Source organism: Homo sapiens, chromosome 8, assembly GCF_000001405.40.
Source record: "Homo sapiens chromosome 8, GRCh38.p14 Primary Assembly".
Taxonomy (NCBI): domain Eukaryota; kingdom Metazoa; phylum Chordata; class Mammalia; order Primates; family Hominidae; genus Homo; species Homo sapiens.
The window spans coordinates 62720435-62743254 of record NC_000008.11 but is presented as its reverse complement, the minus strand read 5'-3'; the positions used below and the strand labels follow the sequence as shown (position 1 = coordinate 62743254).

The window sequence follows — 22820 nt, the reverse complement described above, 5'->3', positions numbered from 1 at the left end:
ATATCAAAGGAAACACCACACAGAAAATAACATTTTATACAGAAAAAGAAACACAAATCACTTTATTGTTGAAGCTTTTAGTTACCACATCAAAGTGTGTAGTTTTGAAATACATGGGTGATATAATTTGGCTGTGTCCCCCACCCAAATCTCATCTTGAATTGTAGTTCCCATAATCTCACATGTGGTGGAAGGGACCTGTTGGAGGTAATTGAGTCATAGGGGTGGTTTTCCCCATGCTATTCTAGTGATAGTGAGTAAGTTCTCACAAGATTTAATGGTCTTAGAAGGGGCTTCCCCCTTTGCTTGGTTCTCATTCTTCTCTCTCCTGTGAAGAAGGATGAGCTTGCTTCCCCTTCCACCATGTTTGTAAGCTTCCTGAGGCCTTCCCAGCCATGCTGAACTGTGAGTTAATTAAACTTCTTTCCTTTATAAATTATCCAGTCTCTAGAATGTCTTTATTAGCAGTGTGAGAACAGACTAATACAATGGGTTAATGCTAAACCATAAATCAATGAATTAATCTTAAAAATAATGTCAGTAGTTCAAATGCCATTTCTCTTTTACTTCTTGGAAATAGACTACTGTGTGATGATTTAAGCACATCACAGTTGAGAAGGTTGACAACTGATACAACTGGTGTCTTTGCTTTTGTCTTTAGAGTTAAAAAGATATAAACAATGGCATTTGTATTTATGCAAGCATATGTCCAGGGTAGCAGAATATGCCACCCCAAAATGTTCCACTTTGGCATGAGGATTTTTTGAGCTGAAGGCAACTGAGAAGAAGCAGATATATACAGATCTCTCTGTCTTTTTCCTATTTGCCTAAAAGCAAGACATAAATTTACAATGATGTCCCTCCTTCCTTCTCTACCAGTAAAAACTAAAGTTAACTACCTGAGATTACTTTAGACCTTTGTCATCCTGGAGAGGGCATCAGAGAAATCTACATAATGAACTTTACTAACTAGTTTTTATCTGTCATAAGTTTCCTATAACTAGCCTGCCCCACACTCTTCTTTCTTTGTTTTCAGTTGAAGATGTTATTTAAGCCTGAATTCTAAGCCACCTATTTAAGAATTAGTCTTTTAGTCCTGAGTATCACCTATATATATATATATATAAGATATACATGTTAATAAAATTCTGCTTGTTTCAAGTTTCTTATTAATCTGCCTTTTGTGAAAAAGAGTCCCAGCTAAGAACTCAGAAGGGTAGAGAAAAAATTATTTTTCCTGCTTTACATACGTGATGATCAAGGAATAGTTTGTAGAATAAGGAAGAAGAGGGCAAAGAGAAAACAGAGAAACCCAAAAATAAAACCAAGTAGGAGGGTTTGGGAGGTGTGAGGGCAGCCTAGAGACAAGACAGCATGTTAAGGTTGTAGGGAAGGCACAATTTTACCTTTACCCTCTTAGAGTTTTTAGCTGGGCCTGAGAATTAAATTTACACAAGGCAAATTAACAGGAGAGCAAAGCGTACAAATTTATTATCAGTTTTACCTGACATGGAGCCATCATAAGGAAATAAAAACACAAAGCTGCAATTAGAGTTGACAACTTATATACTTATTTGGAAAAAGAGTGGTAAATTGTGAAAATGTAACAAAGCAAGGGGGCTTGGGCTGAGGTAGTTGTTTACAGAGAAGTGGCTAGGAAGATAAGGGTTAGTTTAATACAGGTTGTTGGTGGAGATTTCTCTCAGCCTCGACTCTTCAACTCTGGTGATAAGAAGGTCTTCCTTCTTCCAGTGGAGGGGAGAAGACATTCCACATGGGAGTTTTATCTCCTGCTTTTAGGAAGGTTGGAGTGTGCTTGCTTGCTTGCCTGCCTTCCTTCCTTCCTTCCTTCCTTCCTTCCTTCCTTCCTTCCTTCCTTCCTTCCTTCCTTCTTTCTCTCTCTTTCTTCTCTCTCACTCATTCTTTTTTTTTCTTTCTCCCTCTCCCCCTTCCCACTTCCTCTTTAACTCAAAACAATCAATATGCCAGAATGGCATATATTGGAGTGCAGTGTTCAGAACTTCAAGGACAATAGAAAAGAGAATTTCAGGTAAGTCTGTAACGTCATAGACTCAAAGTCTCCTAAAAAAGACTACTAAATTTTCTTATTATTGGGGCAATAGACAACCTTACAAAATGCAATTCCAAGAGAGTTCTGGGAGTAAAAAACTGGATTACAAGGACATAAAGAAACTAAGAGGAGAAGATTTGGTGTTTTTTTTTTTTTTCATAAAGTTTAGGAGTCAAGGTAGTAAGAACATTAAATGGTGGCTTTAAGGGTGGACAAGGAGAAAAAGAAAAAGCACCTGATAACCATGTGTGAGGTATACCTTATATATTCACAGAGTTATGACTTAAAAGAAATGTATTCCATGGTATCTACCTTTTCCCTAAAATATATTTAAGTAAACATTAAATGTTTGAGCTCTTTCATTTCATTAGTGTGAATTCCAAACTTGCTCTCATATTCTCCAAATATTTCAATTAAAAAAGATACCCAGAATTATTTGAAATGTTGTTCATTAACTATGTATGTGCATATGCCTGCACACATTTTATTCATAGTAAGTGTGGTTGCTATATTAGAATCAGCTTATGTTCTAAAAAAAACAATATTCACTTCTTTACAGTATACCACTATACAATTTCTCATTAGTCAAGGAGCTAGTCTCTCTATTATTATTCTTTGCTCTTTTAATAATCTCCTTTTTTTGGGTATGTGTCTAATTTAAATGTAATGCTTTCTATTTCTAGAAATGGACTCCTAACTTCTAACAATAATCATTTTTTTGCCTTTCTCCTTAGTTGCAGCTCAAAAAGTTATTGCATTCATTTTTATATAGCCATCTACTTTCTTTGTCTTTTCACTTTTGTTTCCATCACAAGTCAGCCCATCTGTAAGTGAAAACGTGACCTTAAAGAGAAGCCCATATATACTTAAGAAACCAGATTTTGTTCAATTTTACAGAGTGTGCTTTGATCTTATATTTATATAGTAGAATTCATGCCAATTGAACTTCTTCTGAAATATTTTTTCGTCTCAGAATATAAATTAGAATAGTTAGGGCAAATGTCTTATTTTTCTAATTGTTTTCTTTTTCCTGAAACACTAAATATTTCATAGAGCACTATGGATCTATATAATAAAGAGCAAATAGAGTGATTGATAGGTTTAAGTGTTTGGAGCTTGTAATACAAAGGCTTAGAATTAGTTCAAATATATCAAAAATTATATGATATTTTTCTACATTAAAAGCATCTCTTACAGATAGGCTTAAAAGGTATTTACGTTTTCATTAGGAGTGTCTGTCATGTCCTGTTGCTTTCTAAAAAAATTTATCCTGCAATTTATGAGCAAGTCATAATCATTTGGACTTTTGCCACTGATGTTGGCTATAAAGAGCAGCCTACAGATTGAGGAGTGGCCACTGATCATTTTGATCTCCTCTTTCTTATCTTTACAACTAGGTATTGCTAGAATTTTTCAATTCTTTACCATTAATTATAGACAAGAGTCAGAGCTAAAGGTTATCGAGCCTTTTATTTTCATTTTGGGGCTTACTTCCTTAGATACGATCACTTCAGGGAGCAATGAAGCCTTATCCATCCATTTAACAGGTAGAGGGATCTTTAAAAAGTTCATGGAAAATGCTATTATTTTAAAAAAAAACCTATGCATGGATTTCAATTTTTTTGCACCAAAATAAACTCATACTAACTTGTTGTAATATGTCTGAACAGGCTCTAGTTTGAAGCAATGAGAATGTTAAGACATCAGTTTGAAAAGAGCCCCTATCAGAGCAACATAAATTCTGGTAAAATAAACACAAGAACAAACAACAAATTTGCAGTGAAGCTTGGGTGGAAGAATGCTGAAATCATTAATGCTATACAAAAAGTTTATGAGGACAATGCTCCAAAGAAATCCACAGTTTACAAATAGATAATTCTTTTTTTTAATTTGTGTATATATATATTTTTTTTTTTCGTAAATTATACTTTAAGTTCTGGGTTATGTGTGCAGAATGTGCAAGTTTGTTACATAGGTATACAAGTGCCATGGTGGTTTGCTGCACCCATCAACTCATCATCTACATTAGGTATTTCTCTTAATGCTATTCCTCTCCTAGCCTCCAACCCCCAACAGGCCCTGGTGTGTGATGTTTCCCTCCCTGTGTCCATGTGTTCTCATTGTTCAATTGCACTTATGAGTGAGAATATGTGGTGTTTGGTTTTCTGTTCCTGTGTCAGTTTGCTGAGAATGATGGTTTCCAGCTTCATCCGTGTCCCTGCAAAGGACATGAACTCATCCTTTTTTATGGCTGCATAGTATTCCATGGTGTATATGTGCCACATTTTCTTTATCCAGTCTATCATTGGAGGGCATTTCAAAAGCCAAAATTGACAAATGGGATCTAATTAAACTAAAGAGCTTCTGCTCAGCAAAAGAAACTAAACTATCAACAGAGTGAATAGGCAACCTACAGAATGGGAGAAAATTTTTGCAATTTATCAATCTGACAAAGGGCAAATATCCATTATCTACAAGGAACTTAAATAAATTTACAAGAAAAAACAACCCCATCAAAAAGTGGGCAAAGGATATGATATAAACAGACACTACTCAAAAGAGGACTTTTTTTTTTTTTTTTTGGAGATGGAGTATCTTGCTCTGTCACCCAGGGTGGAGTGCAGTGGCATGAACTGGGCTCACTGCAACCTATGCCTCCTAGGTCCAAGCAATTCTCCTGTCTCTGCCTCCCGAGTAGCTGGGATTACAGGCACATGCCACCATGCCCGGCTAATTTTTGTATTTTAGTAGAGACAGGGTTTCACCATGTTGGCCAGTCTGGTCTTGAACTCCTGACCTCAGGTGATCTGCCCTCCTCAGCCTCCCAAATTTCTGGGATTGCAAGTGTGAGCCACCGTGCCTGGCCAAAAGAAGACATGCATGTGGCCAAAAAACACATGGAAATAAGCTCATCATCACTGTCATTAGAGAAATGCAAATCAAAATCACAATGAGATACCATCTCACACCAGTTAGAATGGTGATCATTAAAAAGTCAGGAAACAACAGATGCTGGAGAGGATGTGGAGAAATAGGAACGATTTTACACTGTTGGTGGGAGTGTAAATTAGTTCAACCATTGTGGAAGACAGTGTGGCGATTCCTCAAGGATCTAGAACCAGAAATACCATTTGACCCAGCAATCCTATTACTGGGTATATACCTAAAGGATTATAAATCATTCTACTCTAAAGACACATGCACACATATGTTTATTGCAGCACTATTCACAATAGCAAAGACTTGGAACCAACCCAAATGCCCATCAATGATAACTCATTTTAAGAAGAGACAAGACAGTGTTGATGATGAAGCTCATACCAGCAGATCATTCACATCAATTTGTAAGGAAAAAAAATTATCTTGTTTGTGCCCTAATTGAAGGGGGTTGATGATTAACAGCACATACTATAGCCAACACCATAGATTTCTCAACTGGTTCTGCTTACACAATTCTGACTAAAAAAATAAAGTTGAGGATATTTTCCACTTGATGGGTGCCAAAACCATTGCACTCAGATCAGCTGCAGACAAGAGCAGGGCTTTTATTGGAAATTTTAAACAAGTGTGATCAAGATCCTGAAGCATTTTCTTGAAGAATTGCCACAGGAGATAAAATATGGCTTTACCAGTGTGATTCTAAAGACAAAGCACAATCAGAACAATGGCTAACAAGAGGTAGAAGTGGTCCAGAGAAAGCCAAAGTGGACCAGTCAAGAGTAAAAGTCATGGCAACAGTTTTTCAGGGTGTTCAAGTCATTTTGCTTATTGACTTTCTGGAGAGCCAAAGAACAATAGTATCTGCTTATTGTAAAAGTGATATGAGAAAGTTAGTCAAAGCTTTAGCAGAGAAACATTCAGGAAAGCTTCACCAGGGTCCTTCTCCACCATGACAATGCTTCTGCTCATTCCTATCATCAAACAAGGGCAATTTTGAGAGGTTGGCAGGAAAAAATGGCAGACAGCAGGCACAACTAACTTGTGGGTCCCACTCAGGAGCTCACATCATGAACTTTTGATGGAAACTCATATCATGAACTTTTGCTCCAAGGTCTACTGCAGGAACACAACAAAAAGCCAAGAGAATCCACAGACCCTTTGGTGGAAGCAGATTGAGGCTATAGGTTCTGTGAGAAAGCCAAAAAACTGTGAGTGCCCAATGGGTGGAAGAGGGATGTCCACCTCCAAACACACATCCTCACTGGGGAACCTGAAGGTCCAGATCATGGGAGAATTTGACCTTACCTGGAGCTGAGATGAATTTAGAGAGCTGAGGAAAATATAGGGCTAGAGGAAGCATTGAGAGAAGCCCTGTAGGAACTCTCAGTCCCCAGGGAAGCCACTTAAGACTTTGTCTCACTGGGGTCCTGTGTCTCGCCAGTCAAATTAGGGAAAGACTACAGGGAGAAGGAAACTTCCAGCTGAACTTTGTAACAATTTTGACTGAATGCGAAGTTTTCCTGGACAGAATCTGGGGGAGAGAGTGAACCAGGAATGCAGACACAGCACAGAAGCCATTGGCAGGTGGGGATGTGTGAAACTTGAGAGCCCTGCTTGCTTTCTCAGTGAGGAAGCTGGTAGCCTGGGGCAAGTTCTCAGCCCTGCTTAGTGGCTGCCTGGAAATAAACTTGGTGCTGTTGCGTGGGCACGGTGACATGGTGAGAGTGAGTCGGGGCTTTGGTGCTGCGTGGGAGCTGAGTGAGGCCTGTCACTGCTGGCTTTTGCCCACTTCCTTGGCAACTTGTATGCTGCAGCAGTGGTAGCCATAATCTGCCTTGGAACATAACTCCATTGGCCTGAAATCCACACCAGCAACCCCCACAGTAACCACAGCAAGACTTGCCCAAGGAGAGTTTGACCTCAGGCACACTTAATCCGCTCCCTATCTGAAGGTCTTTCTCTACCCACCCTGGTAGGCAAAGACAAAGGACGTAATCCTCTGGGAGCTCTATGATCCTGCCCACTACCTGAGAAACTTATCCAGGTGACCCTAGGGCAAGCCTATATCCTTCCTATACTACTGTTGCTGATGCTGTCTTGAAAGCTCTACCTCCTGGCTGGAAGCCAACAAACACAAAACCAGAAAACTAAACAAAAATAAAACCAAGGTCTTTCACAGAGTCCACTTCACTCCCTTGCTACGTCCACCAGGGCTGGTGCTGGTATCCATGGCTGAGAGACCTGAAGACCAATCACATCACGGAACCCTTTGCAGACACTCCTCAGTACCATCCTTGAGCCCAGGAGGCTCTGCTGGGAGCCTAGATCCAGGAGAGAAATAACAATCACTGCAGTTCAGCTCTCAGGAAGTCCCATTCCTAGGGAAAGGGGGGAGAGCACCACATGAAGGAGTCACACCATGGGACAAAACAATCTGAACAGCAGCTACTGAGCCCCAGATCTTCCCTCTAATATAGTGTACCCAAACAAGAAGGAACCAGAAAAAGAATTCTGGTAATATAACAAAACAAGTTTCTTTAACACTCCCAAAAGATCGCACTCGTTCACCAGCAATGGATCCAAGAAGAAATCGCTGAATCACCAGAAAAAGAATTCAGAAGGTGTATTATTAAGGTACTTAACGAGGCACCAAAGAAAGGTGAATGCCAACTTAAAGACATTTAAAAAATGTTACAGGATATGAAAGAAAAATCTCCAGAGAAATAAATAATGTAAATAAAACACAATCACAACTTCTGGAAATAAAGGACACACTCAGAGAAATGCAAAATGCACTGGAGAGTCTCAGCAATAGAATTGAACAAGTAGAATAAAGAACTTCAGAGCTCAAAAAAAAAAAAAAAAGAAAGAAAGAAAGAAAGAAAGAAAGAAAGAAAGGTTTTTGAATTAACCCAATCCAGCGAAGACAAAGAAAAGAAAAACTTTTTAAAGGAACAAAGCATCCAAGAAGTTTGGGATTATGTTAACTAACCAAACCTAAGAATAATTGGTATTTCTGAGGAAGAAGAGAAATCTGAAGGTGTGGAAAACATATTTGAGGGAATAGTCAAGGAAAACTTCCCTGACTTTGCTAGAGATCTAGACATCTAAATATAAGAAGCTCAAAAAACACCTGAGAAATTCATCACAAAAAGATAATCACCTAGGCACATAGTCATTAGTGTATCTAAAGTCAAGACAAAGGAAATAATTTTAAGAGCTGTGAGGCAAAAGCATCAGGTAACCTAGAAAGAAAAACCAATCATATTAACGCAGATTTCTAAGCAGAAACCGCACAAGCCAGAAGGGATTGGAGCCCTATCTTCAGCCTCTTCAAACAAAACAATTATCAGTGAAGAATTTTGTATCCAGTGAAACTTAACTTCATAAATAAAGGAAAGATGAAATTTTAGCAAATTGGCTTTCAGATGATAACGTGACTCTTAGCTATTCTGGCTAAATTCACAGATATCACTATATATGACACAGACTTCTTGGCATTTATCTTTCTTGCCTTTCAGCAGTTTTTGACATTACTAACTCCTGACTTTTTCTCAAAACATTCTCCTTTCCGTGACTGTATTCTCTCTTGGTTTTTCTTATTTCTCTTGGAGTATTCAAATCGAGCTAAGATTTTAGGAAAAGGTAAAATTCCCTGAGAAGAAATTTACCATAAGAAAGGGAATTCTGAATGGGTTCAAGCATTCTTCCTGACTTATCAGGGGAAATTCAAACATTCCTTTCTAAAGTAATTTATCTTAAAACTAGATCCCTCAGGTTTTCCAAAGATTAAGACTAAATAGTTCTAATAATTTCCCATAGTAAAAATTTGCCAAATCCAAAAGGAAAAAAAATTATATGAAAAACAGCCAACAGGAAATATGTAAACAGCACAATTTAAGAATCAGCAACTTTAGATTTTAGAATTATTACATAAAAAGTTTTGTTTGTTTGTTTGTTTGAGACAGGAACTTGCTCTGTCACCCAGGCTGGAGTGCAGAGGCTCAGTCTCGGTTCACTGCAACCTTCACCTCCTGGGCTCAGGTGATCTTCCCACCTCAGCCTACCAAGTAGCTGACACTACGGTTGTGCACCACCACACTTGGCTGATTTTTCAAGGCTTTTTTAGAGACGAAGTCCCACTATATCACCCAGGTAGGTCTTGAACTCCTGGGCTCAAGCAGCCCTTTTGCAATGGCCTCCCAAAGTGATGGGATTACAGGTGTGAACCACTATACCCAGCCCTTAAAATGTTCATAAAAATAAAAACTGGGATGAAAAATCACTAAAGGGAAGAGAATATTAAAATAAACAGGTATGTTTAACTTCTAGAGATTAAAAACATAATTGAAGCAAGAAATCAATAGATAGGTTAAAAAGCAGATTAGACAGATTTAAGAGACAGTCAATGATTTGGAAGATGTATTTGAAGAGATTACCCATAATTCAACACAAAGAGCTATATATTCAGAAAACATGAAAGGCCAATAGGCATGGAGAATAGAATGAGAAGGTTTGATACACATCTGATCAGAGTTTGGAGGTGAGAATAAGAAAATGAGTAGGAGGCAATATTAGAAAAAAGTTCTTGAAGAATTTTCAAACTTAATGAATGGTAGACATTTTCACATCCAGAGCACTACAGTAAAATAATAACATATTAAATTAAAAAAAAGAAGTTATTAAAACGCAGTCAAGAGAAAAACTTGCCAACAAAAGAATGTTTGATTAAGTGTGGTTGTCAACAGCAACAATGGAAGCAAGAACCTATTACTCTCTTGCTGATTTAACTCAGAAATATATACGTATAGATATATATCTGATTAAACTTTTATTTAAAATGATGAAACAAAAGCATTTCAGACAAATAAAATCTAGACTATTTACCACCAATGGAACTTCCTAAGTGTATTTCAGGAAGAAAGAAGGTCCTAGAAGATAGGCAAATTCCCATAAATATTATTCATATGAGACAAAAATAATGCCTAACTTATGAGGCAAAAACAGGGTGGAATTAAAAGTTGCTCATCAGTGCCATGCAAGATGGAAGGAAGGTGAGGTTTTAGTATTGTTTAGGTGGAGGGTAGCAGTAATGATTAATTTTAAATGTAAATGTGGGTGGTAAAAGTTTAGGGTGAAGTTTTATTAGAATAAAAGTAAAATGAGTATATGATTTTGAAGTAGTAGAGAATAAATGAAAAATTTAAAATATAATGATAGTGTCAGGAATAAAAAAACATTAAAAATCACAATGAATAGAAAGCAAAAGATAGATGGTAGAAGCAATAACACATATATGAATAATCTCAATAAATATTTATTTGACTAATTCTACAACTAAAAATTTCAGCTATGTGTCATTTACAAGAGGCTCATTTAAGCATCTGGACACAGAAGTATTGAAAGTAAATGTATAGAAAAATACATAATAAAGGTATAAATGTGATATAATTATACTAGTATCAGACAAAATAGACTTTATGGAAAAACATAAAGAGAATCCCCACATAATAATAAAAAAACTGTGAAAACTGTGTATACAGTACATTAGTGTCAATACATAGGAAACAAAAATGAACAGAACTGTGTGTAGTAATTGTCAAGTCCACCATCAATATTTGTCAGATGAAACAAAAATATTAGGGGTGCAGATTAGAACAAAATAACTAACAAGTTTGATCTAATACATGCAGCTAGAACCCTGGGCCCCTAAATTAGAAAATATACATTTATACATTATAAAATTACACATGAAGCATTTATGAAAATTATATTACATAGATAATGTGGACTGACAATAATGCAATTAAAATAAGTATCAATAGCAAAAAAATGTATAAAAGAATTCCACATTTAAAAACTTTTACATTTTGGTAAGACTTCATTCATTGAGAAGAAATCAAAAAGAAAAATGAGAAATATTTAAAACAAAAATAAATCAATGTAACATTATCAATAAAGTTTAATACGATCAACTCTATGCAAATCAATTTGAAAACTAGATACAATAAATAATTTTGGAGAAAAATATAATTAATGACATCTATTGGGGGCAGATAAGAGTTTTCTTAGTTTTCCTAGTTACGACTTTTGGGTCATAAGTGCAATATTCTTAAAAAATCTAAATTATTAAAACATTTTTTAAATTAAAAATAAAACCCAAGTGTACCCAATTGCATATCCGTCTGGTACTATACACACATACAGAAAGCATTTAAAGTGACTTTATAATATGGCATTTTGATTATATATTCTTAATGAGATGCATTCTATGGGCAAAAAAAAAAATGAAATCTCAAACCTCCCTCTGGAGTTACATTGTTCGTAGTTGTCTTATGTAGGGTTTCCTAGAAGCAGAATCTGACACAGGAGATTTGGTGCAAGTGAATTTTTGAGGAAGTGCTCTTGAAGAAAGACTTGTGAGGGAGGGATGAAAAGAAACTGGATCTGATCTCAGGTAGTCTGTCCTTGATCTGACCTTCAGTGGAGGGCTCTGGATCTTAAACCATGACTCAGTGGTCTCCTCCTCCCCACCAAAGGGCACTGGCTTTTGCGGTTTCGGGGGCTAACTTTTTGTACTATTATGTCAGTCAGTCAGCTGTGGCCTGCTGTCAGGGATGGGAGCCCGAGCTAACTTCCTAGGCAGGAAGGGTTCCCCCGGAGACATCAGCAGCCAATCACTACAGGAGCTGATGAGAGGTCACATTGGCTTTGTCAAGGGGATGAAAACAGGGTACCAAAACAGTATTTACTAGTGTATTTATATCAGTTTGGTATTTTAAAATCATTTTCCTTGTATTGAGGGTTAAAACAATAAGTAATCACATCAATGATTTAATAAAGATTTTCAGTGTAAGAGAAAAGACAGTTATAATATCAAAGAAAATAAATGTAAATACCGTATTATTGAAATTAAACTGAAAATATCAAATTTCACTCATGATTAAAAATAATTGTATAGAAGGAAGGGTGTGTGTGTGTGTGTGTGTGTGTGTGTGTGTGTGTGTGTCCTGTGATCCCTGTCCACTGAAATGGCTCGGAAACAATGTTGCTCTAGCAGAGCAATGAGCACTTCAGTTTTGCTGTTTGATACCATTCCTCACTAAAAAGCGCCAGGTCTTCCCTGGAGAAATGCCCAATCTAGGTTAGGTGCAAGGAACAAACAAGGGGAGTGTAGGGTAGATTTTTGTGCTTGAAAGCCTGAAAACTTTTACAAAGTCTTGAGTCACATTGAAAGGATGTAGGAGCCACTCTGAAGGCTCTATCATTGCCCAAAGTTGTAATAATTTGAGCATCAAAAGGAATGATTGAAGCCTACTAAAACACACTGAATCAGTGAAAATCTATGATTCCATAATACTTAAAAATAAACGCAGAAAATCTCAATTGTTAATAGTTAAAACAGCTATTAAAATAACACCTTACTTGAAAAATGAGTAATTAAAGGGAAAGAAGAATTTATTTTGCTTTTGCAGTAAGAAATTGTATATCAAGATAACTGAGTTGATGAGGTAAAAGTCTTCATTATTGAACATGTGAGGCAATAAATATAAAAAGAAAGGAAGAAATTTTTTAAAAACACAATCTCGCAAATTCAAATGAAATTCTTTAATTCTTACAAAGATTAGTGAGCAGTTTTTAAAATAATTAAGTAAATGGTTAATTCATATAGCACCAAAGTACATAATACAGATTTCTTTTTCATGGCAAGTAATACTTATAGAAATAATACATTAAATGACATTTAGGAAAAATATATAGCATTTAATATTTATAATAGAAAAGAAGAAAGGCTGAAATTAATGAGCTGAGCACCCAGTTTAAAAATTTTTAAAGACTAACAAGACTAAAGATGTTAGAATAAAAGATTAACATATTTACATTTAATTAACAAATATTTGTGCCTACACTGTTCTGGGGTTTGCAATTAATATATGAACAGAACAGGCAAGAATTTATGCTCTAGTGGAGCTAAATTCTAGTAGAGCAATTCAGAATATAAATATAACAAGAAATAAATTATATTTTGTGTTAGAAGATGAAAAGTATCTTAAAAGACAACAATAAGGATATTAGAAGTACATGTAAGAGCAGAAAATAATTAAAAATAAAAAATATAATAGAAAAGATCAATAAAGTACAAAGTCGGTCCCTTATAAATCTGATAAAATTAGCAATGCTGTGGTAAGTGATCAAACTTGGTATTATTTGTTATTGTCCAAACGTGGCATGTTGTTCACTCATATGCAGGACAACGGCCAATCTTAAACAGAACAATATGGCAGCAGTTAGCAGTTTAAAATGAGCATATGCTATGATTCTGCAATTTAACTCTCTGCATTTATCCTTGCTTTGTCACACATCCACCTGTGTACACATGTAATAGTGTTCATAGCAGTAGTTTATTTTCAAATTTAGATTGGAAGCCATCTAAATGTCTATCAAAAATTAATGAATTTGTATGAATGCAATCCATGCTATGTGAAGTGGAAATAAATTCAGTAGGCCTACATAGACATTAAAAAGGGTAATCTCTGAAACATAATGTTGACAAAAACAACTTATAGAAAAAATAAATACTGTGTTACTTCAGTTATACAAAGTTTAAAAGTTGAATAAAGATACTATATATATAATATATCATATGTCTATTATATAATTATGGATAAAGCTGCTGTAATAAACATCTAGGTGCAGGTTTTTATGCGGACACAAGTGTTAATACCAAGGAGCACAATTGCTAGATCATATGGTAAGAGTACGTTTAGTTTTTTAAGAAACTACCAAACTGTCTTCCAAAGTAGCTGTACCATTTTGCGTTACACCCAGTATTGAATTAGACTTTCTGTTGGTCCATATCCTACCCAGCATTTGGTGGTGTTGGTGTTCTGGATTTGGCCATTCTAATAGGTATGTAGTGGCATCACGTTGTTGTTTTAATTTGTATTTCTGTGATGAACTGTTACGTGGAGCATATTATCATGTGCTTTTTTCCATCTACATATCTTCCTTGTTGAGGAGTCTGTCCAGGTCTTAGGCTTCTTTCTAAATAAATCGTTTCTTTTTTATTGTTCAGAGTACATTGTGTATGTTGGACAACACTCTTTTATCAAATATTTATTTTGCAAATATTTTCTCCCAGTCTGTGGCCTGTCTTATTCTCTTGCCAATGTCTTTTGCAGAGCAGGAGGTTTTTTTTTTTTGTTTTTTTTTTTTTTTGGTTTGTTTGTTTTGTTTTGTTTTTTGTTTTGTTTGAGACGGAGTCTTGCTCTGTCGCTCAGGCTGGAGTGCAGTGGCGTGATCTCGGCTCACTGCAAGCTCCGCCTTCCGGGTTCACGCCATTCTCCTGCCTCAGCCTCCTGAGTAGCTGGGACTATAGGCGCCCGCCACCACGCCTGGCTAATTTTTTCTATTTTTAGTAAAAACGGGGTTTTGCCGTGTTAGCCAGGCTGGTCGCTATCTCCTGACCTCGTGATCCGACCGCCTCAGCCTCCCAAAGTGCTGGGATTACAGGCATGAGCCACTGCGCCCGGCCAGGAGTATTTTTTGTTTTGTTTTGTTTTGTTTTTTTGTTTTTTGAGACGAAGTTTCGTTCTTGTCGCCCAGGCTGGAGTGCAATGGCGCGATCTCCGCTCAAGGCAACCTCCGCCTCCTGGGTTCAAGTGATTCTCCTGCCTCAGCCCTCCTGAGTAGCTGGGATTACAGGCTTGCGCCACCCATGCCCAGCTAATTTTGTATTTTTTAGTAGAGACTGGGTTTCTCCATGTTGGTCAGGCTGGTCTCGAACTCCCGACCTCAGGTGATCCGCCCACCTCGGCCTCTCAAAGTGCTGGGATTACAGGTGTGAGCCACCGCACCCGGCCATGGAGTTTTTAATTTAATTGAAGTCCGGATTTTCAATTCATTCTTTTTTTTATGATTATTATTTTTTATTATTATACTTTAATCAATTCATTCTTTTATGTATTGTGCTTTTGATGTTATATCTAAAATGCCATTGCCAAACTCAAGATCATCTAGACTTTCTCTGATGATCTAGGAGTATATAGTTTTGCATTTTACATTTGTGTATGTGATCCATTTTGAGTTATTTCTTTTGAAGAGTATGAAGTCTATGTCTAGATTATTGTTATTTTGCAAGTGGTTGCCCAGTTGTTATAGTATCATTTGGTGAAAAAACTATCTTGGCTTCCATTATATTGCCTTTATCAATTCAAAGGCCAAATATAGACCCATATAATATAGTTACAAAACTTATATTTTTGCAAAACTTATCCAACTTTTGCAAAGATTATGTCAGTGAAAAGAAAAACTCATCCAACCGTACACTTACATGGGTACTTTTTATAGTATATAAATTACACCTCAATAAAACAGATTTTTTAAGTAAAAAACAAAGAAAGAAACAGTTTATCGATATCCACAGAACAACTTTGGATTTCAATTAAGATTTTGTTGAATATATAGACTAAGTTGGGAAAGACTGACATCTTGACAATATTGAGCCTTCTTACCCATGAACATGAAATATCTCTCCATTATTTATTTCTTGGATTTCTTTCATCAGAATTTTGTAGTTTTCCTCATAAAGATCTTATACACATTTTGTTAAATTTATACCTATATAGTTCATTTTGGGGGTGCTACTGCAAATGGTATTGTGTTTTTAACTTCAAATGCCACTTACTCATTTCTAGTATATAGGAAAGTGATTAGCTTTTATATATTAACCTTCTATCCTGCAACCTTGTTATAATTGTTTATTAGTTCTAGGAGTTTGTTATTGTTGTTTTTGTTGATCTTCTACATAGATGACCATGGCATCTGTGAACAAAGTTTTATTTCTTCCTTTCCAATCATTATATCTTTTGTTTCCTTTTGTTGTCTTACTGCCTTAGTGAGAACATCCAGTATGATGGTAAAAAAGAGTGGTGAGCTGGGACGTTCTTGCCTTGTTCCTGATCTTAGTGGGAAAGATTGTAGTTTTGCATTATTAAGTATGATGTTAGCAATAGAGTTTTTGTACATGTTTTTATTAAATTTAGGAAGTCCCCCTCTATTCCTAATTTGCTGACCATTTTTACCAGACTGCATATTGGATTTTGTCAAATGCTTTTTCTGCATCTATTGACATGACCATGTAATTTTTCTTCTTTAGCCTGCTGATGTGGTCAATTACATTAATTGATTTTTTAACACTAAATCATCTTCATATACATGCAATAAATCCCACTTGGTGTGGTATGTAATTCTTTTTGCACATTGTTGGATCCAATTTGCTAATATTTTGTTAATGATTTTTGCATATGTGTTCATGAGAGATATTGGCTGGTAGTTTCCTGTTCTTGTCATTTTCTTCTCTGGTTTTGGTATTACAGTAATGCTGGTCTTAGAGTATGACTTAGGGAGTAACCTCACTGCTTCTATCTTCTAAAAGAGGTCATAGAACAATAGCATAATTTCTTCTTTAAATGTCTAGTAGAATTCACCTGTGAACTCATCTGGGCCTGATGCTGTCTGTTTATGAAGGGTATTAATTATTGATTGAATTTCCTTCATAAACATGGGATTATAAATATAATAAATATAAGGATGTAAAGATTAAATAAAGGGATGCAAGAATAGTTCAATATATGCAAACCAAACAATGCAATACATCATATTAACAGAATGAAGGATAAAAACCATGTGATCATTTCAACTGATGCTGAGAAATCATTTGATAAAATTCTACATCCTTCCATGATAAGAATCCTCTAAAAATTGGGTAAAGAAGAAACATACGTCAACGTTAAGAAAAGCCATATAATACAGACTCACAGCTAGTATTATACTAAATGAAGATAAATGGAAAGCCTTTCTTGTAAGATCTGGAATACAACAAGGATGCACACTTTCACCACTGAACTAGCTAGAGTAATAGGAAAAGAGAAGGAAATAAAGGACATCCAAATTGGTAAGGAAAAAGTTATGCGTGTTTGCAATTGATATAATCTTATGTTAGAAAAAACCTAAAGACTCCAACTGATAAACAAATTCAGTAAAGTTGTAGAATATAAAATTAGCATACAAAATCAGTAGCATTTCTATATGCCAACAGCAAATAAACTGAAAAAGAAATCAAGAAAGTATTCCATTTACAGTAGCCCCAAATAAAATAAATACCTAAGATTAATTTAACCAAAGAAGTGAAATATCTATACAATAAAAATTATAAAACATTGAAAGAAGCTGAAGAGATCACACAAACAATGAAAAGATATGTCATGTTCATGCATTGGAAGAATCAATGTTGTTAAAGTGTACATGCTACCCAAAGCAATCTACATATTCAATGCAATCCTTATTAAATATCAATGACATTCTTCATATAGATAGAAAAAAAATCCTAAAATGTATATGAAACCACAAAATACACAGAATAGCCAAAGCTATCCTGAACAGAAAGAGCAAAATGGAAGGAATCACATTACCAGACTTAAAATTATACTGCAGAGCCATGGTAACCAAAACAGAGTGGTATAGGCAGACACATGGACCACTGAAATAAAATAAAGAACCCAGAAATAAATCCGTACATCTACAGTTAACTCATTTTTGACAAAGGTGCAAAGAACATATATTGGAGAAAGAATAGTCTCTTCAACAAATTGTGTTGGGAAAGCAGAATGAAACTCTCCTATCTGTCTGCATATACAAAAATCAGATCAAAATGGCTTAAAGAGTTAAATCTAAGACCTCAAACTATGAAACTACTAAAAGAAAACTTTGGGGAAACCCTTTAGGATGTTTGGGTGGGCAAAGATTTCTTGAGTAATACCCTACAAGCACAGGCAACCAAAGCAAAAATGGGCAATTGGGATCATATCAAATTAAAAAGCTTCTGCACAGCAAATGAAACAATCAACAGTTAAGAGACAATCCTTACAAAGGGTGAAAATATTTGCAAACTATCTATCTGATTAATAGCCAGAATGTATAAAGAGCTCAAACAGCTCTATTGGAAAAAATCTAATAATCTGATTTAAAAATAGGCAAAAGATCTGAATAGATATTTTTTCAAAAGAAGACACAAATAGGAAACAGATACATTAAGAGGTGCTCAACATCACTGATCATCAGAGAAATGCAAATCAAAACTACAATGAGATATCACCTCACTCCAGTTAAAATGGCTTATATCCAAAAGACAGGCAATAACAAATGCTGGTGAGGGTGTGGAGAAACAGAAACCCTTGTACCCTGTTGGTGGAAATGCAAATTATCACAACCACTGTGGAGAACAGTTCAGAGGTTCCTAAAGAAACTGAAAAAAAAAAGCTATCATGTGATCCAGCAATCCCATTGGTGGGTGTAAACCCGAAAGAAAGGACATCGGTATATCAAAGAGATATCTGCACTCCTATGTTTATTGCAGCACTCTTCACAATAGCCAAGATTTTGGGGCAACAAGTGTCCATCAACAAAAGAATGAATAAAGGGAATGTGGTATGTATACACAATTGAGAACTATTCAGCCATAACAAAGAATGAGATCCTGTCATTTGCAACAACATGGATGGAACTGGAAGTCATTATGTTAAAAAAAATAAGCCAGGCACAAAAAGACAAATTTCACATATTCTCACTTATTTGTGGGAGGTAAAAATTAAAACTATGGAATTCATTAGGATATAGAGTAGAATGATAGTTATCAGAGGCTGGGATGGGTAGTAGGGTGTAGTGGGGATGGTAAATGGTTACCAAAATATAGTTAGATAGAATGAATAAGAACTATTATTTGATAGCACAACAGGGTTACTACAGTCAACAATAGTTTTTGTACATTTAAAAGTAACTAATACAGAATAATTGGATGATAACACAAAGCAAAGATAAATGGTTGAGGTGATGGATATCTCATTTACTCTGAAGTATTGTACATTGTATGCCTGTATCAAAATATCTCATACACCTTGTAAACATGCACCTACTACGTACTCACAAACATTAAAAATAAAAAATTTAAAAACAAAAATAATAAATAAGTATAGGGAGGATAAGCATACTTTCTTATGTATAATCGAAATAAGCGAGACAGTATACAATACTAAAAGGAAATGAACCGTGCTTAAAAACAACCTAATTTCATTCCTTCAGTTAGCTTGTCCGTGTCATTTGGTTCTGTTGGAAGGGACCAAATAAAAGCTTCCAGTTTCCTACCAATAACTCAAGAAATCATTAGTCCTATAACACAAAGTGATGTGAAGAAGTCTACTTTTACTGCTGGACCACCTTGATGGAATGCAGAGAAAACACAGTAAGAAGTTAGAAAAAATCTGTAGTTTGCTAGAAAGCATTTTCGTTTAAATGTCATGCTCTTCTTCTCTTATCTGTGATTATTTCTTAGTTGGTCATTCATTATCCATGCTTTCCTTTATACTGCTTTGTCTACTTTTAAAGTGTGTCAGATCCATAGGCAGAATCAGATATATCCTTGTGAAAACAGCCTAGCAAAAGCTTCAAAGAATTTGAACACCTAAGACATTTAATAAGGGATGCTTTAAGTATTCTATGTGACAGTATAGTTTACATCTATGAGTACTGTGTGTTATTGCTGTATCTGAATATGATAAGATTCAGCTACAGGTAATTTTTTTAAAAATAAGTATACATTTCATTAGTAATCTATGAGTTTTAAACACCTGCAGTTTCCTTAGTTAATTACTAAACCCATTCAACACATCCGGCTTTGTGTTAATCAATAGTTATTTGATTACGATGTTTTCCCTTTTATGCTAATTAGGATTTTAAGACTATAAAATTGTGCTACCTTTGTGATTCATGCTGGTACTAATGTGTTACATTTATAGTTTGGTGTACTTATAAATCATGCATGCGTATGCATGTATGCACACATTTTACCTAATTTACACAAAACAATTTTTTGTGTGTGTGTTTTTTGTTAAATTTACCACCTGGGAAGAATATATGCTTATTTTTCAACTTAGGTAGAAAAAGATTTCTTTTTTCAGAAAAATAATAAATGTTGTTTTAATGTGATAGGATTTTTTAAAAAACATATAATTATTTTAGTTATTCCATTTTTGAAGCATAGCTGAATAAATAGAACAAAATTGTTATTTTTTGACCTATGGATGCGGCAGCTGATTGGTTTTGAATCCTCTGCAAAATAAGACATTTTTCTTAATTGCTTCCTTTGCTGAAATAATTACCAAGGCTGGAAACAGTTCTGATTAATTGCAAAGTTGAAGATGGTAAAAACCTCTCTGGCAGGTTCTTATTTGTCACCACCAATCTCAAGTTGTTGACTAACCATCTTGGATGGCTGTAGGAGACAGCCTCTTGTGATCTGGAAGTTTCAGAGACAATGATTCAAATACAACTCCCTGGGTGGATTTTCACTGTAGCCATGAGATGTTTGTTAGCCCATTCTTGTTGCCTGACTCTCCATTAGAGTCATGAGTGTTCCATACATATTTTGATGTGTCTGTGTGGGAAGGAGGGATGCTATTCACTTTGCTATGGGGGATGGGATGAACTGAGATGAAACTCCCACATCTGCCCACTGTAGCTACATTTATTTTAAGAATATTGTCTCTCTTCACGTCTCCATGGACTCCTTGATTTGACGGTAAGTAATCATACCAATCTTGCAGATTCTTCATGCCAACATTAGCTGTATGCCTCTCACCTAAACAAAATTATTACTAACCAGATAGTTCATGAGTGTATAAGGGCCAATGGCCACAAAGGACTTATCTAAATCATGAACATCATTTTGTAGTATTCCTATTTAATTTGTTGGGAGGAATGATAATGAGGGTTATTTCATTCTTCAAAATTTTTAAATTCATGGCTGCATCATGGAGGTATCTTTCGTAGTGTTTTAAGGAGCCCAGAGGGCTTCCAAGCCACTACTTAATTCATTAGAAAATGAATGATTTTATTGTTACTGGCAAAGATTAATCTCAACAACTTGAATTTCCTTAAATGAAGCAAGGCACTTTTAGCTTTTCTTTAATTAAAGTTGAATTTGAAATTTTCCAAACAATATTTACATTCTTTTAAATTTTCAGATCATGGGGAGACCATTTCTTCTATGAGGCACTGGTCAATTTCTGGTTGTTCTCCTTACTGATAGTGGCTAATCTTAAAACATCCTCTTTTCTCCCCAAAATTAGACTTAGCTATGCTTTCCATAAACACCTAGATGAATACAAATATTCTTATCCAAAGTGGAAAAGCTCTTCCCTTTCACAGACCTGTCTCTAGCCATGAAACAACTCTTCTATCATAAGTTAGGATTATATCCACAGGGACACTTGCCAGGTGGAATATTCAAGAGACGATGAGTAGATTATTATGGCTACATGTTTCAAGGTGTCTGAAGTGACAACAGTTGAGGCCACAACCATTGTCTATGTTCTGCCCTATTTCACCTTTAAATAACACACAAGGAGTCTTCAAATGATGTAGGTTTCCTCCTTATGAATGTAATAATCTTCCCACATAGAGATCATTATAAATTGAAAAATCTCACTAGGTTATCAAGATCTCTAAGAATGAATGCATATTTTTTTCTTGTTCATATCTACAATACAAAGGCAATTTACAGTCATTGTTCTCTACTCTAAGGCAACACTTGGCTGAAGAAGGACTTATAGTGCACAAAGCCAGCAGTTGTACCACAGACCCAGTGAGTGAGACTTAAGAAGCACAGTTTGGCTGGTGTTCTAATCATAGTCTCATCGTTAAGAGGAAAAAAAGCATCTCAGTTTGCCTAGGAAGCTGTTGCCTGAATTTTAAACTTGAATCAAAGGAGAATTGAAATAGTAGAATTTGCACTCTTTATATATCCTTGAGGAGTTTAATTTTCACTTACCTGCTTAACATTCTCTAATTTCAGGCCAAGCACAAAGTAGCAGTATGATAATACCTTAGGCAAGTTACAAAAATTTCAATTTAAAACTCTCATAGTTTTCTTATATTTTAGAATTGAGGCAGTCTTCAGCAAAATATTATGCTCTCTGGTATATTTGGCTCTATTTGGGGAAAGTCATATTTTAAATTTCCGGCTTCTATATGTGACTCTGCTACAGGGATATTTTACTCCTGGACAGATGGGGCTACGTAAAAAGTAATGAATAGAGTAGCATGTGTGACATAAATTTTATAAGGGCAAAGATTTTCCTAGCTATTGCCTCTCCACTGTTTCACACCATCTCAGAGGTCAGTATATGCTCTTACGTGGCTCTCTATAAAGACGCATGAAGTAAGCGATGCGGCAGATGCATAATATCGACCACATGTAGTTCAAGTAAGTCTGGACTGTAATTGCAAAAACTCCAAAGTACAGTTAAGTGAAAGGGTGCTGAAAACATATCAGCCACCTCTTCTATGAACAAGTTAATGTGCAAGTTAACTTGAAGAACAATTTCCCTCTTATTCTCAACTCCTCTCCTTTGTTCAGGATCAAAATAGTAGCTTCTTCTGGAGCCCTCCAACAAATGGAAACAATTTGCAGTAAGAGGCCATATAACTTGATGGCTTGAGTCAGTCATCATTGCCTTTGGAGAATATGCTATAGAAAAAAGTTTTCAAGGAGGAAAAAGGGAATAAATATTGCCATTGTTAGCTTAGTCAGAAAGACTGACTGCCTGGGCACAGGAGAAAAGAGAATTTTATAACATTCAATAAACCTGGAATCCATGGGTCGGATCCATGCATTATAAACAATTAACAAAAAACAGAATTCAAATTATGAAATCATAATTCCATTGGGAATTTTGACAGATATTTAATAATT

General features: G+C 35.5%; 1 protein-coding gene across 5 annotated transcripts in view, besides 1 other annotated feature; it reads right to left on the bottom strand.

Annotated features, from left to right (window-relative positions):
- The window catches only part of NKAIN3 (sodium/potassium transporting ATPase interacting 3), a 750799-nt gene that overhangs the window by 256398 nt on the left and 471581 nt on the right, over positions 1-22820 (bottom strand). The window lies entirely within an intron of this gene.
- Positions 188-367: an enhancer, noted in NCBI's record as "active region_27448". NCBI's record gives its function as "activates an Ori minimal core promoter by ATAC-STARR-seq in GM12878 lymphoblastoid cells {active_cell/tissue: GM12878}" and the evidence as "EXISTENCE:reporter gene assay evidence [ECO:0000049][PMID:35858748]".